Source organism: Homo sapiens, chromosome 4 (assembly GCF_000001405.40).
Source record: "Homo sapiens chromosome 4, GRCh38.p14 Primary Assembly".
NCBI classification, from domain to species: domain Eukaryota; kingdom Metazoa; phylum Chordata; class Mammalia; order Primates; family Hominidae; genus Homo; species Homo sapiens.
The window spans coordinates 5,063,941-5,080,470 of record NC_000004.12 but is presented as its reverse complement, the minus strand read 5'-3'; the positions used below and the strand labels follow the sequence as shown (position 1 = coordinate 5,080,470).

The window sequence follows — 16,530 nt, the reverse complement described above, 5'->3', positions numbered from 1 at the left end:
AGATCTAAAAAAAGCCAGGAAGAAGTAGTCATGCAAGTATCTGGGAAAGAGCATTTCAGGCAGGTGGAGGAGCAGCAAGTGCAAATGTCCTGAAGCAGTGCCTGAGTGTTCAAAGAATAGCAAGAAAGCAAATGTGACAGCAGCAGACAATGAGATCAAAGGTCCTGAGGGAGGTATGGCCTTGGTATACACAAGAGAGTGACGGGGAAAGCAGAAGACGATGGTGTCTGAGAGGTGGCAGGGGGCCTGATCATAAAGGGCCTTAGAGAATTTGATCCTTGGGCTTCTTCACTGATAGTAATAGGGAGCCACAGAGGGTTCTGTGCACTGGAGTAACATGATCTTAGTTATGGTGTAATGAGAAGACCCTGGCTTCTGTGCTGAGACCTGGCTACAATACACTATTAGTAACTCTAGTCACCATGCCGTACCATTAGGTCTCCAGAACGGTTTGATCTTATATGGGAAAGTCTGTACCCTTTAGCCAACAGCCCCCTATATTCCCCAGCCCCCAACCTCTCTTAACTACCATCCTACTGTCTGCTTTTGTGAGTTTGGCTTTTTTTAGAGATCACATATAAGTGAGATCATGGAGTATTTGTCTTTCTGTGTCTGGCTTACTACATTTAGCATAATGTCCATCAGTTTCATTCATGTTGTAGCAAATGGCAATAGTCCAGACTACTGCAGTGACTCAGACAAAAGAGTACAGTGGCCTGGCCCAGCTGGGAACAGTAGGGGTCATGCAGAGGGATTCATTGTAGACTGAGTGAGAAATGAGGGGTGGAAGAGTAATCAAAGCATCAAGGATGACCCCAAAATTTTGACCTAGGCCTCTCAAAAGATGGAGTTTCCATTAACTGCAGGCAGCAGCTGTTTAAGGGTGAAGATAAAGATTTCAGTTTTAGACACATAGTAATAACCATGTATGAAAATTTTCTAACTCTCTAAGCAACAAGAATCTCATTTAAACCAATGAGATTGAAATTTTGCCTTCTTAATGAGCAAAACTTTAAAATATGTCTCTTTCCTGGCTAGGATGCAGTGAGCCAAGAACTGGCATAAATTTTATGAATAATAATTTGGGAATAAAGTCAAGATTGATAGAAAAATGTTTATAAATTTCACCTTGTATATTTTCCTTCAATAAATTTATTCTAAGAAAACAGCAAAAAGTGCAGTTTTATGTATACAATTTATACATTCTTATTTCTAAAAATAAAACACTGGAAAGGGCCCAAACATCCAACAATAGGAATATAGTTAAATAAATTACTGTATGGCCCAATGATGGAGTATTCTGCAGCCATTAAACATTTTTAAGAGTTTAAAACATATTCTGGCAATACAAAATGTAATGCAGTATGACTAGGATGTAAAAAAAGCTTACTAAAAAAAGTTTGGAGAGGAATTGCTAAGGCATAACAATTGTCTCTGGGTGATGAGAACGCTTTTTTCTTCTAACTGCAGCGTTTTCAACATTTTTACTTTCATTTTATATAAAAAAACAATTTTACTTTTAACAGAGATAGTTATTCTAATTTCATGGGTTGTTGTGACAGAAACTGAAATACACTAAAACCGGTGCTAGCACCAATTCCACTATAACTCCACTTCCCTGTGCTGGCCCCCCCTTCTCAAAGGCAGAGTTTGATCTTCTGGGAGAAGAGTAATAGAGGGTGGAGGGGGTCTTCTGGGAAAGGTGGGCAGGGGAGAGAAGGGGAGGCCAAGGCCAGGCAGGGAAACTCTGGCAACCTTGACTTGGGAAGCAGGTAGATGGAGGGTGCTCCATCAGTCCCCAAAATTCTCTCTGAATCCAACAAGGAGGCATCCCAAGTAATACTTAAATCAGAGTGAACAAATGCCACCAGGAGATGCCAGACAGAATCTGGAGCTCAGACAGGTTCGGACGTAGTTGAATCCCCAACATTCTAGACCCCCAGAACTTATCAATATTTGGCTAGTGGCAAAGACCCACCTTGCACATATTAACTTCACAATAATGTGGCCTTGCATTTTACTTGAATTTTTAGCTTCCTCTTTTCATATCATGTCAGTTTGTTTTGTTTCAGTCTTTGTTTGTTTTTGTTTTTTCAGGCTAACAGACCCTAGCTTTTCTACCCTAAAGCCATTCTAATTTCTTCCTGGTTTTCTTTGACAAAGTTCTAGAGAGTGAATCCTTGTTGATCTAGGACATATATGGAAGTCCAGCACATTTTGGCCAGTGATTGGTCCAGGGTGTGGACACATGACCTACTTTTGACCAATGAGCTACAAGGGGAAGTCTGCACATAGCTTCCAGGAAGTATTGTGCCCCCTTATAAAAGAGGCAAGAGAAGAAAAGGCCCCTTTCCTCCTTTACGCTCTTCCTGCTCTGGACACTATCGTATGGGGATTTGTGGGAGCTGTGGCAGCCATGTTAAGACGTTGAGAGAAGAGATGTGTGAAAAAGCCCATAATCAGACAACAGTGCAGCAGGACAGAAAGAACCAGGGTTTTCAATGACATTATTGCACCCTGGGCCACTTCCTTCTGGACTTCTTGTTAATTACACAAGAAATATCCTCACAGTTTAAGTTATTATTTGTTGCCTTTTCTATTACCTGAAGACAAAAGCATCCTACAGGATGAAGCTCCTGCCATAGAGTCTGCCCTAAAATAGGCTTGAAACTGTTAAAATGTTTGGGATTCTCCAGGGCTCTAAGACTCCCTGATGTTATAAGGGAAACCTGATTTCCTGCCTTCCCCCGCAGCCTCTTTGCTATGGATTGCACGGTACTGGAGTTGTTATATAAAGCTGCCAGGTGTCTTAGGCTAGGAAATAGGTAAGAGGTATTTTGAGCATCTAACCTTGGCTGCAAGGGAGAAGAGAAGAGATCTTGGGAAAAGGGCTGGGGAGGTGGACCCACAGGAAGGCTGTGCAATGGGGTCAGCCAGGGAGAGGCTCTACCTCAAGCACCCATTCTGATTGCTGCAGAGAAGCTGCCTGGAAGTGTCTTAAAGAGAATTCCAAAGCTGTTTTGAGTTCAGTGGGTGTCTGCCCTCACAGCTGGTTGGGGAAACTGTGGCAACGGCAGTGACATCTGAGTGCCTAGGGTGAGACTGGGGGATAAGGAAGCACCACCAAGAGGGTTGGACTGTAAAAGGAAATGCCTGCGTGCAGCAAGGAGATAGACAAGGTAGTGGGATAATATTTCTGCTGATATTCCGCTTTATCTCTCTTTGGTAAACTGACATGGGGGACCATATTAAATGTACAGTACACTAGCAGACTCGTTTATTCATTCGACAAATATTACATAAAAAGGAAGGAGTGCCACACAGTTTTCTAGTTGCTGCATGTACAGAAAGAAATGTGGCAGAAAAGGTTCTTGCCCACATGGAGCTTACAGTTCAGGGATGTATCTCGGATAATCTGGAGTCCTCCACATAAAAGCATCGTCTGTCCAGAGCCTATCACTGCAGATGATGAGGCCTGAACCAAGGAAGCCTCCCTTTGTCTCTCCTCCTTGAACTTCTTCCCCCAGTGACCTAAACTTTCCATAACAATATAAAAGGAAGAAAATTCACTGCCTAGTAAAATTTTACAATGATGGAATAAATATTTCTCTTTTGATCCAGACTTAGTTATAAAAAAAAGTCCAAGGATCCTATGATATCAGTATCTACTCTGGAAATTGTGGCCACTGTAACTGTGGCAAAGATTTATACATGCGAAGTTTATCATCATTTCCATTTTTCAACCTGTAATTACCATGTACAGAGTTCATCAACTTAAAATTCAACAGCTTTTTCATACATTTTCCACAGCATTAGCTGAAAAGATGCGAAATGCAGATTATATTGGTATAGATCAGCCTTGTGAATATGCAGTATTTACTAGTCGGTGAAAAAACAATGTAGAAAAAATGTTTATCAGCAATAAAGGGCAACAAATTGTGATTCAGAAGACATTAAAAATGCCCCTATGCTTTTGTCTAGTAATTCCACTCTGGGGAATTGACAACTGTAAGGAAATTATCATGAATGCAAGGTAAAAAATTTATAAGCAAACATGGTCAATTTTGCATCGTTTATGAGAAAGAGGAACTAGGAATAAGCTAAATGCCCCCAAAATAGGGGACAAGTGAAGAAAATTACAGTACCTCCTTAGGATAATATGCAATTGTTAAAATATAATACTAATTTATTATTATGGTAGATTGGATTATTTGTTCCAATTCTTCACTCCTCCTTAGTCGTACTCTACATTCACATGGATGCCATCGACTCTTCGTCAGCACAGTATGCTTCCCCAACTTTTGACTTTGGGTTCTCTTGGTCATGTGACTTTATTCAGCCAATGAAATGGTAATAGACATGATACAAGCAGAAATGTGAAATGTCCCGTACAGCTGGGCTTATCCTCTTAGCACTTCTGCCATTGCCATGAGAAGGACTTAGTCCATGTTAATTCAGCATCTCCAGCCAGGGCTGCAGTCCCATAGATGCATGAGCAAGAAATAAATGCTTATTGCTATATGCTACTGAATTTTGGGCTGGTATGTTATGCAGCAAAAACTGACTGAAACAATCAGGCAAACATGTAATTACATGGACCCCTGCACTGTGCAAGGTAGAGACAAAGTAATACATATTTATTGAAAGAACAGGAGAATATTTATATGACATTGTTAAGTGGAAATTAGAATAAAAAGTGAATTTGCAGAATAAAGAAAAAAACCTGTTCTTGAAAAGAGAACAATAAGAAATCTATCAAAATGACCATTATTGACAATATTTTCAGGTTTCCTAAATTTTTCAATTTTTTTATAATAAGCATGTATTTTAATAAAAGAATCAAAATGCTGCACCAAAATTGAATTTGGTTAAGATTCAATTTATCCAAAGATAAACTAATATTAAAAGGAGGAGAAAATAAAATTGGGCACAAGGAGGACACAAGGGTTAATGGCTGAAATGAATTATGAACCTACTTAGATATATTTTTAAAAAATCAAAAACACAGCAAAAAGATTGAGAAACATTTTTAAGGTGATTTTCACAGAAGACATATAAAAAAGTGAATAAAAGTGACATTGTCAAGGAATCAATGTCATGGACATTAATAAAACCTTCGGGTTTCATTTCAAATCCACCAAATTAAGAAAACAAATTCAACAATGTTGAAATGTTTTTGAAGAGAAGTTATGGCAGAATGATCACATTTGTGCTGTACTAGTGGCAACAAAACTTAAGAAAAATGGAATGCCAAGGTCTTATGAGTTATAAATTATAAATACATTTACACCCTTTATTCCAATAATCACATTGTTGAGAATTTATACTAAAGAAATAACAATACACAAAAATTAATTTCAGTGCCCCAAAATGTGCATACAAGCTCCCCTGAAATCCCTGGTGGTCTCTTGAAATGGGCATGAATGGGGTGAAACTCCAAGGAGCCCAGTGTAACAATGGGTGAAAAATTGAAAGAGCTTAGTAGAGATTTCAGTAGCTGCCCAGTGTTGGAGACATAGAGTTTGAAGTTCAAATTAAGTGTAGTAAGAGTAAGTACCAAGTCCCAGAAGTGAAGGATACACTCTAGAATGAAAAGCAAAACCAAAAGAGATCCATTCTAACAAAGTCTGAAACCACATATCTGAAGATCAAAATGAACTTCCAGATATTGATTTTCCTAGTGGAATAAAACTCAACACTCCTCAGAGGAAGATAACCAAGTAGAAATCACATAACTGAGAGATACAATATCTGAAATAAAAAGTTCATTGAATAAAATAGCGTAATATTCATTAAAACATTCTGAAATGATAATGCTAGCTAATATTTATTGTGCCAGACATGTGTTTAGTGCTTTACACATGCTAGCTTCTATAATATACCATCTACAATATCTAGCATATAAAGAAAAATACTAGATATGTAAAGAAACAGAAGAATGTGTTCCATGGTAAAGAAAACAACATCCATAGAAAGAGACCCAACATGACTAAGATGTTGAAATTAGCAGAATTTTTAAAGAATTTGTAGGAAAAAAATAAATACAGTGGACAAAGGCATGAGGAATTTCAGCAGAAATATAGAAAATTTGGGGAAAAAAATGAAAGTCCTAGAACTAGAAAATATAATATCTCAAATTTTAAAATTCATGGACTAGAAAGAGAAGGGTGGACAATACAGAAGGGATCTGTGAACTTGATAGATGAATAAAAACTGTATCCAAACTGAAGCCAAATAAGGAAATATATTTCACGCACGCGCACACACACACACACACACACATATATATATTTACAAATGAACAGAATCTCCGGTAGTCTGTGGAATGCTATCAAGTGGTCTGAAATACATGTTACTGAAGTTCTAAAAGGAGGAGAGAGACAAATAAAAGGGGGAGGGATGTGTGGGAGGAGAGAGAGAATGTGGTAGAAAATAGAAAAAATATTGGCTGAAAGTCTTCCAATTTGATTTAAAATATCAATCCACAATCCAAAAGGCTCTGCAAACCCTAAGAAGAATAAAAGGAAAGAAAACCACATCTTGATATATCATAGGGAAACTGATAAAAGATAAAGAAAAATTCAGGAATAAAAAAACACACTACCTACAGAAGAACAACTGTTTGAATAATGGCTGACTTTTCAGAAAAAAACAAAGTCAAGGAGATAATGGAATGATATTGCTAAAATAAATAAATAAATAAAAAAGTCAACTGAGAATTCTATGTCTGGTGAAAATATTCTTCAAAAATGACAGTGAAATAAAGATGTTTAATTAAATAAAGGCTGAAAATATTTGTTCCTAGCAGGCCTGTACTATCTGAAAGCACAACAGAAATTATTCAGGCTGAAGACAAATGATATATGATAAAACTTTGAATCCATAGGAAGTAATTAAGAGCACTGGAAACGTTATATACATGGGTAAATACAAAACATTTTTCTTTTCTTAAAGAAAAACCTGGTACTTAAAGAAAAAATAATAACACATACCATGAGTTTTATATTACATGTAGAAATAAAGATATATTACAAAATAAGAAAACAAATGGGAAAATGGAATTATACTATTATAAGTTTTTAAACTTTCATTTGTAGTAGCATAATAATGCAAGTAAGGCTGTGATAAAATAAAGATGTATATTGTAAATCCCTATAGCACCTTCAGTTTAAAAGCCAATAGTTGTGATAGAATTTTTAAAAATCATTAGATTAACAAAAAACACAAAAAGGAAAAAATAGAGCAAAGAACACAGAAAACAAATAGAAAACAGAGAGCAAGGTGGTAGAATTAAATCTGACCACATCAATAATCATATTAAATATAAATATACCAAATACTCTAATTAAAAGGCAGAGGTTTCCAGGCAAAATACAAAAGGCAGACCCAACTATATGCTATTTAAAGTGATGCTTGTATTCAAAGATACAAATAAATTAAAAAGCTGCTGTGATCATATTAACAGCAGCCATGTCGAATTCAAAACAAGTAGTATTTTCAGAGATAAAGAGAATACTTTATAATGATAAAGGGTCAATTCATCAAGAATGCAAAGTAATCCTAAATGTGCATATAATTATTAACATAATTTGAAAATACATAATCACTGACAAAATTAAATATAATAGAAAATTCACAATCATACATAAAGATGTTAACACTTTTTTCTCAGTAATTATCTTTTTAAAAAGCAACAAAACTCCATAAGGATATGGGAGACTTACCCTAAGTGAGATTTATGAAACAGTACACCAGTAACAGAAGGATATATATTCCTTTCAAGTGTAGATGGCATGTTTACCAAGGTAGATCAAATGCTGAGTTATAAGTCTGAATAAACTCCAAATGATTGCAAATAAACAGAATTGGGACTGGAAGCCTGAGACAAATGACAGCAGTGAGTCTGTTTGGATTCCTGTTCTAGATTTCTCAGTGTCTTGGTGTTGAAATGATGAGGTTGAAAGATGAGAGTGAAGGGACATGAATGACAAGAGCACAGGTAAGGGGGTTTCTGCAATGTGCAAAGAAGAGAAAAGTCAAGCATGACTCTAAAGTGTGAACCTGAGCAATTGAAGGAATGTAATCTCTACTTGCTGAAGTAGGAAAGACTGAGGAGGGGTACATTTAGGGATAGGAAGAGAAGCAGGAGTGCAATTGGAGGTTTCTACCAGATTCCCATGTAACAATGTAAATGTGGGGTTGCCAATTAAAATTTTGAGTCTGCAGGGTACAAGTTGAGCCTGCAAACAAACAACAACAACAAAGACAGAGTTGTCAGTGTAGAATATACTAGTGGTATTTTAAATAACTATTACTTTAAACTCATCCCAAACTAACACCCTATTTGAAAACCTCTGCCCTATAGGTTTCAGCCATAAATTTATATCAGAATCTAACACCGTATTCCCATTAATTACAAACAGATAAATGCATCCAGAAAGATGAGGAGTTGGGGCATCTCACACAAGGGTCACCAGGGGGTGTAAGACAAGAAACAAATCAAATTGGCAACCTGCATGCCATGGCCTGATCTTGTGTTTTGTTTTCTGGCTAAGAAAGAAAAATGTTTCTCAATTATAGTTTTGTTTCTCTCCCTACCCATCATATCACAGAAATTAAAGGAATTGGTAAAATAAAAGTTCTGAAAGATTTATAGCCACAGTTTAAGACCATGATACCTCAGAAAGATCAGAAACATTTGTTATTTTCTGGAAGAAATAAAATGCCAATGCAAATCACTTTCAAATGCAAATCCTAAGCAAACATAATTCTGGTTAATGCATGAAAGGTGTGTTCTGCTAAGCTCCTTTGATTCTCCAGGAAGATTGATGGCATAATTATACTCTGGAGAGAAGGGTTAAGAAACTGTGTTGAAACTTATTAAATATGACATGCAATGACTTTTCGATTTTGTTTGGAAAGTGTGCTTAAAAATAATTACATTTTAAATGGAATTTATAAATATCTTATACCACTTAAATGAACGGTAGAGGATTCTGCTGCAGCACAATTATATTGAGTCTGATAAGCTTTGTTTCCTACAAGTGAGAATTCACTGGCATTTTCCACAGGATCAAGGAGATGGAAGGTTTGTAAAGCATCTGTAGGCATATTTTTGTGTTCATATGTACATCAATGTATAGTGGTTAAAAGTAACTGTATACATATATGCAAACATAGCCAATAGTATGGGCATTTGCAGCCCTCCTCTTTCTTGTGGAGTAACATGTTTTCCTGGCGACCAATTTCTTCCCCTGCCAAACCATCCTTCAGTCTGCACCTAGCGTGATCACTGCAAACTGAAAACCTGGTCACATCACTCCCCATATTAAAACCATTAAGTGTCTCCTCGTCTTCTACTAATAGAGCCAGCTTCAGGGACCTGCAACCTGTGCATACAGCATTCTGCACTCAGGAGGGCCCGGTGCTTGTTTTAATGATCTGCTATTGCTCTTTTGTCTTTGAGATTTTGCTCTGGAAGCAATTACCACGGAGCATGTACAGGAGCAGAGGTTATACGCTCAGTGCACCCATCCACCATTCCTCCATTTTCATGCCTAGGAACGCCTTCTTGTGGGACGGCCTTCTGTGGACTCAGGAGGTTCCGCCGGATACAAAGGGAGTGCAAAATAAGTGGGTTTTATCCACAGCTGGGTGCTCAGGACACTGATGGCCCTAAAAGGCTGCATGTTCTGTTCCAACCAGAATAACTTGCTTCAAACACAGAAAGAGAGCGATGCTGCTCTGAGAGAATGGAACCGCCAAGGAACTCTTACCATATCCTTTCTTACTTGTGTCTTTGTGTCCAAATTTCACCTCTTCACAAGGACACCACTTGGATTGTATTGGGCCCACCCTAACAACTTCATTTTAATTTGATTATCCTGTATCTCCAAGTAAGATCATTTCCAAAGTAATCAGAGTTTGGGCTTCTACACGTCTTATTTTGGAAGACACAATTCAACCTAAGCATTAGGCATCCAAGGACTTTTATTGTTTTCCCCTCAAGCCCCTACAATGACAGATATTTTCTAAAGGACGGGGGCTCACTATCTAATCCTCTCTAAGTCCCCATTCCAGCCCCCAGTCTCTCCATAGGGGCTGCCAAGAAATACAGCAAAAACAACACTCCAGGACACGAAAGTCAGCTTGATCCACATCAGCAGCAACAACATGACAAGAGGACGCTGCTCCTCAACCACCAGTTCCACACTACTTGCCAGAGTCAGACTTCTAAGAACGGGCCTCTGCCTTCCTGACAGGTAGCACGAGGGTTCAGCCAAAGAAGCTTTGAGGGCAGAGTCCATCAGAATGTGCTGTTTCCTAGGAGAATGGAAATGAGAAAGAACCGCCTGACAGCTGGGATGGAATGTTCGCTGGGAGGAAGCCAGAGCCACCTTCTTCTGGCTGAATAAACAGCAGCCCCCTGCCTGCCTTCTCTCCATGTTTTGTGCCTCCTGTGTTGAGCCAGGCATCCTCCTAAGTGCTGCACACTGTATGATGAAGCCATTGACCTATGGTTACCTCACTCCATCCTCACAAGGACCATGTCAGAGTGCATCCCCATTCTTCAGCAGAAGAAACTGAGGCTCGGAGAGGATAAGTAGTTGGCCCAAGGTAACATAGCCCACACACAGAAAAGGCAGGATTTGAAACCAGACTTGTGTGATCCCAAAATCTGTGCCTTTGACCTCCACATAGAATCTTCAGTCATAAAATTTTAATAAATCTTATATAGTACTTATTACTGCCAGACTGTGTAAGCACTTTACGTACATTAACTCATTTAGTACTGACATCAATGTATGAAGTAAGTACCATTTAACCCTCACTTTACACATGAGGAGACTGAGGGTCAGAGAGGTGAAGAAACTTATTCAGATCACTCAGCTAGGAAGTAGCAGAGGCAGCTTTCGACTCCAGGCAATGCAGCTTCAGAGTCTGTGCTCTTAACCACTGTGCTATGTCAGGAGCATCCCTGCTGAAAGATTCCATGATGGACCTGGACAGGGGTCCTGGTACATCTCAGATATACATAAGCACAAGGCCCATAGCCTATCTCTAAGCTGGGCTGGAAGGTGGAACGTAGTTTAGAGAGCTGCCTAAAAGAGCACATGCTGCAGCTCCAGTGTCAAAAAGAAAGTGTGGGGCTCAAACTCCCTCAAGAACCTGCCATTGTGAACCTGGGAGGTGGAGTTTGCAGTGAGCCGAGATTGTGCCACTGTACCCCAGCCTGGGCGACAGAGCGAGACTCCATCTCAAAAAAAAAAAAAAAAAAAAGAGAACCTGCCATTACCTTGAACTAAAACACAAACCCCTAAGCTGGGCATACCTTGCAGACCTCTCCACAGCTCCAACCCTGCATCTGTACAACTGCCATGCAGCACTACTGCTCATTCACACATTTACAAATCCATTCCAAAATTATCCATGGAACAAGTTGCAAACTAAAGGTCTACAAAAGGTTAACAATATCATTGGTGACCGTTGTTAATAATAACATACTATATACTGGAAATTTGCCAAGGGAGTAGGTCTTACGTGTTCTTGCCACATACACATGCACACACAAAAGGTAACTATGCAAATAATGAATACGTTAATGAAAAACATCTCACTACACTGAATATCATTGTTTTGCATCCGTCTTAATTTTTATTTTATCTCATTTTCTATTTATAGTAGTCACAATCTGGCTCCAATTTAAAGCAGAAATATAAAGTTTCCTTGCAAAAAAATTCTATTAAAGTCATGGTCAAGATAGAGAAAAGTATTAAACAATAGTACAGGTAGTACACAGCTATGGTAAAAAAAATAATAATAATTCTGCAGGTGGGATGCAAATTATTGAGTCTTAGGAAAGGCCAACATGAGGGAAAGAGCTTTTCAGTTATACAGAAAGAAGTGAGACCAAGCACCACAATTATGTCACCTAAGACAACTTAGTTAACCTCTTGGAAATCCCCATATCTCCAGGTATAAAATGGAGCTAACAAAACCTCTCTCACACTGTTATTCTAAACATTAGATATCAGCAACTTGGCTTGAACTGGGGGCCATTATTCCAAGTGAAGTAACTCAAGAGTGGAAAACCAAATGTTGTATGTTCTCACTTATAAGTGGGAGCTAAGGTGTGCAAAGGCTTACAGAGTGGTATTATGAACATGAGACTCAGACGGGGGAAGAATGGGAAAGGAGTGAGGGATGAAAAACTACACATTGGGTACAATGTATGCTACCTCAGTGACTGGTGCACTAAAATTTCAGACTTCACCATTATATTAGGTTGCTGCAAAAGTTATTGCAGTTTTTGCCATTGAAAGTTAACTTTCAATGGATGAATTGTATAGGTTGGTGCAAAAGTTATTGCGGTTTTTGCCATTGAAAGTAACCTACACAATTCATCCACTTTGATATGGTTTGGATTTGTGTCCCTGCCCAAATCTCATGCTGAATTATAATCCCCAGTGCTGGAGGTGGGATCCGGTGGGAGGTGATTGGATCATGAGGGAGGACTTCCCACTTTGGTGCTGTTCATATGATAGAGTTCTCATGAGATCTGGTTGTTTAAAAATGTGTGGCACCTCCTCCCTCTCTCTTATCCTCCTGCTCCAGCCATGTAAGATGTGCGTGCTTCCCCTTCGCCTTCCGCCATGATAGAAAGTTTCCTGAGGCCTCTCTAGAAGCCATCATGCTTCCTGTACAGCCTGCAGAACCATGAGCCAATTAGACCTCTTTTATTTATAAATTACTCAGTCTCAGGTATTTCTTTATAGTAGTGTGAGAATGGACTAATACACACTTGTACCCTTAAAGCTATTGAAATAAAAATAAAAATAAAGATCATATTATGTATAAAAATGTTTGGCCCATAGTAGGTATTTATTAAGTATAATTTTATTTTCCCTTTCCCTAGGCTTTCTCCTTTAGATACTGGGAAGGAACCTGTAACCTTTATAAGTTTACACGGTGATTTTCCTTAGTCTATTCTGATACTCAAGAACCAGCAGCTATAATGATAGACACTTTCTAAAGCAGTGGGGCCCACAGGAGACACCTCAAGAGCCACAGACCCCATCCTTGTGGAGTCTATGGTCTTGTGGGGGTGACTGACTGATATGGTTTGGCTGTGTCCCCACCCAAATCTCATCTTGAATTGTAGCTCCCATAATTCCCATGTGTTGGGGGAGGGACCGAGTGGGAGATAAATGAATCATGAGGGTGGTTCCCCCATACTTTTCTCATGGTAGTGAATAAGTCTCATGAGATCTGACGGTTTTATAAGGGAAACCCCTTTCACTTGGTTCTCATTTCCTCTTTGCCTGCTGCCATGCAAGATGTACCTTTTGCCTTCCACCATAATTGTGAGGCCTTCTCAGCCACGTGGAACTGGAACTGTGAGTCCATTAAGCTTCTTTCCTTTATAAATTACCCAGTCTCAGGTATGTCTTTATCAGCAGTGTGAAAACAGACTAATATACTGACTTAATGAAAGAGCCACAAGAGTAAATGCAATATTACAACTGTGTTCAATGCTATGAAGGAGCATGTGATAATTTCAGGGACCTTCTAGGAGGAATTACCCAGTCTAGGAAGCAGATAAGGCATCTTGAAGAAAGATAAGTGGGAGATGACTGAGTCAAATGGGATAAGATGGAAAGAGTGTTTCAGGGGACAGAACAACATACAGTAAGGTCCTGGGGCAGGAGTAAACTTTTTCAAAACTGAAAGAATGGCTGTGTGGTTGAAGAGTATAAATAATAACATTGATTACAAGAGGAAGAAATAGCTAAGTTTATGGGACAGTTGTCATGTGCCAGAGATTTGGCTGAAAACTTTAAGTGCAGTGACTAATTGAACTCATTCAGTGAAGGGGAACACAGCTTGCAGTGAGTTGGGAGAGCTGGGCAGGTTTTAGACCATACAGGGTTCTGAAGGATGTATTACAGGTTATAATCTTTGACCGGAGAGCAATGGAAGCCATTGAAAAAATGTTAAGCAAGGAACCGACACGATCATACTTGTGATTTGAAGCTATTTTCTAGCTGTTGAGTGGGGAATGTTCTGAAAGTGCAAGAGAAGACAGGGAGGCCAGTCAGGAAGCCCAGGAGAGTCCACATGAAACGTGATGTTTGAACTGAGGTTGGTGTGGCTGGAAAGACAGGCAGATTTGTGAGCTATTTAGGAGATAAAATCAACATAGCCAGGTGCTTAATTGGATTTGTGGGGATAAGAGAAAAACCTGAGACATGCTGTCTTCTGTAACTGAAGGGATAATGACACTATACACTAAACTAGGAAATTCTGGAAGAAAATTAGTTTGGTGAAGTTGTGTTGAATTTGAGATAATAATTCTTTTGAGATATCCAAATGGAATTATAAATAGGAAACCAGAGGTTTGGAAATCCGAGGAGAAATGTGAATTAAGGTAAAAAATTATTGAGTCTGGCCAGGCATGGTGGCTCACACCTGTAATCCCAGCACTTTGGGAGGCTGAGGCGGGCAGATCACTTGAGGCCAGGAGTTTGAGACTAGCCTGGCCAACATAGTGAAACCCTGTCACTACTAAAAATACAAGAATTAGATGGGTGTGGTGGTGAATGCCTGTAATCGCAGCTATTTGGCAGGCTGAGGCAGGAGAATTGCTTGAAACTGGGAGGCAGAGGTTGCAGTGAGCCAAGATCACGCTACTGCTCTCCAGCCTGGGCAACAGAGCAAGACTCTGTCTCAAAACAAAAAAAATTACTGAGTCACTGTCATATAAAAATATATGTTAGTTATTAATTTATTGACTCTCAGCTCCAAATCAAATTTGTGATGTTGGAGCTGGACCCTGTAGACATTTCTCCTTTTCCAGCTGGCCTCGTGCTAGGCATTGCCAATCAAGGCACAGGCGAGACACTGCAAGATCGGAGTGAGAAGAAGGACTTTTCTTCCTTCTTCCAGTGTATTTTCCATGTGGCATTCAGCGGGATGGTGTCCAGGGGGCCTAGTAGCCCTCATCTAAGTGGCACTCATGGACCACTTGCAGCCACTCAGTGGGCTGCCTATTGTGGCAACAATGCCTTCTCCAGAGACATGTGAATCACAGACTTCACGGAGAAGGGGGCCACCTTCTAAGTTTCTGAGTTCTTTTATGTGTTCACTCTTCCTCAGCCCTAGAGAGACTAGGTGTTTTGCTGAAGTTGCTGCTTCTATACCTCCTAGAGTCCTCTTTGACTCTACTTAGTAGTTAACCTTTTTACTGGTTGACAGTTCTTGGAATTACATTTTCCCTTTTTGAAAACTGGTGTAGGTTCTGGGTCCTGACTGCACCCTGACTGACACAGAGTGACTGAACATGCAGGGGTTGACAAGATCACCCAGGGAGATAGTACAAAAAGCTAAGTAAGAGGTCCAATTGCTCAGTCTTGAACTCCAGGCTTCGTTGCAAGTGACAGGAAGCCAGCCTTGCAAAGAAGAAGGAGAAGGAACAGCCAGAAAAGCAGGGGGCAACCTTGGAGGGTGTAATGTCACTGAAACTAAGAAGAAATATTGCATCAATAAATAATATGCATAAATCTTAAGGAGGAGAAGGTTTTCTTATGGAGAAATATATTTTTATATATTATATAATTATATATGCATATTTATATATTATATATTTATATATTATATATGTATACAACATAAGTATATATTTATATATTATATATGTATATAAGTATATATTTATATATTATATATGTATATAAGTATATATTTATATATTATATATGTATATAAGTATATATTTATATATTATATATGTATATAAGTATATATTTATATATTATATATGTATATAAGTATATATTTATATATTATATATGTATATAAGTATATATTTATATATTATATATGTATATAAGTATATATTTATATATTATATATGTATATAAGTATATATTTATATATTATATATGTATATAAGTATATATTTATATATTATATATGTATATAACATAAGTATATATTTATATATTATATGTATATAAGTATATATTTATATATTATATGTATATAAGTATATATTTATATATTATATGTATATAAGTATATATTTATATATTATATATGTATATAAGTATATATTTATGTAATATAATTATGTTTATGTAAGTACAGAATTATATATTATAATAAATATATCTTTACATGTAATATATAATAAATATATATCATATATGTTTTTATATATTATATATTGTGTATAAATATACATATTTATGCATATACATATTTATACACAAAATATAAACCACAAGGAAACCACAAGGAAAGCTTAATAAGTATGACTAAATTAAAATGAAGGCATTTATGATGTCAACAGATATCATAAAAGGCTTGAAAAGTGAAATTGCAAAACAGAATAAAATATTTGCAGCACATAACTGACAAAGAAATGTCATGTAGACTATATAAAGAGCCACAAGTCAATCAAAGAAGACAGACTACTAATTAAAAAATTAACAAAGTTATGAACAGGAACTTCATAAAACCAGAAACATG

At 37.9% G+C, this 16,530-nt stretch overlaps 1 protein-coding gene across 5 annotated transcripts in view, besides 1 other annotated feature; it reads right to left on the bottom strand.

The window, feature by feature from the left end:
• Window positions 1–16,530, bottom strand: part of STK32B (serine/threonine kinase 32B) — a 481,604-nt gene that overhangs the window by 420,519 nt on the left and 44,555 nt on the right. The window lies entirely within an intron of this gene.
• Window positions 13,133–13,232: an enhancer, noted in NCBI's record as "active region_21237". NCBI's record gives its function as "activates an Ori minimal core promoter by ATAC-STARR-seq in GM12878 lymphoblastoid cells {active_cell/tissue: GM12878}" and the evidence as "EXISTENCE:reporter gene assay evidence [ECO:0000049][PMID:35858748]".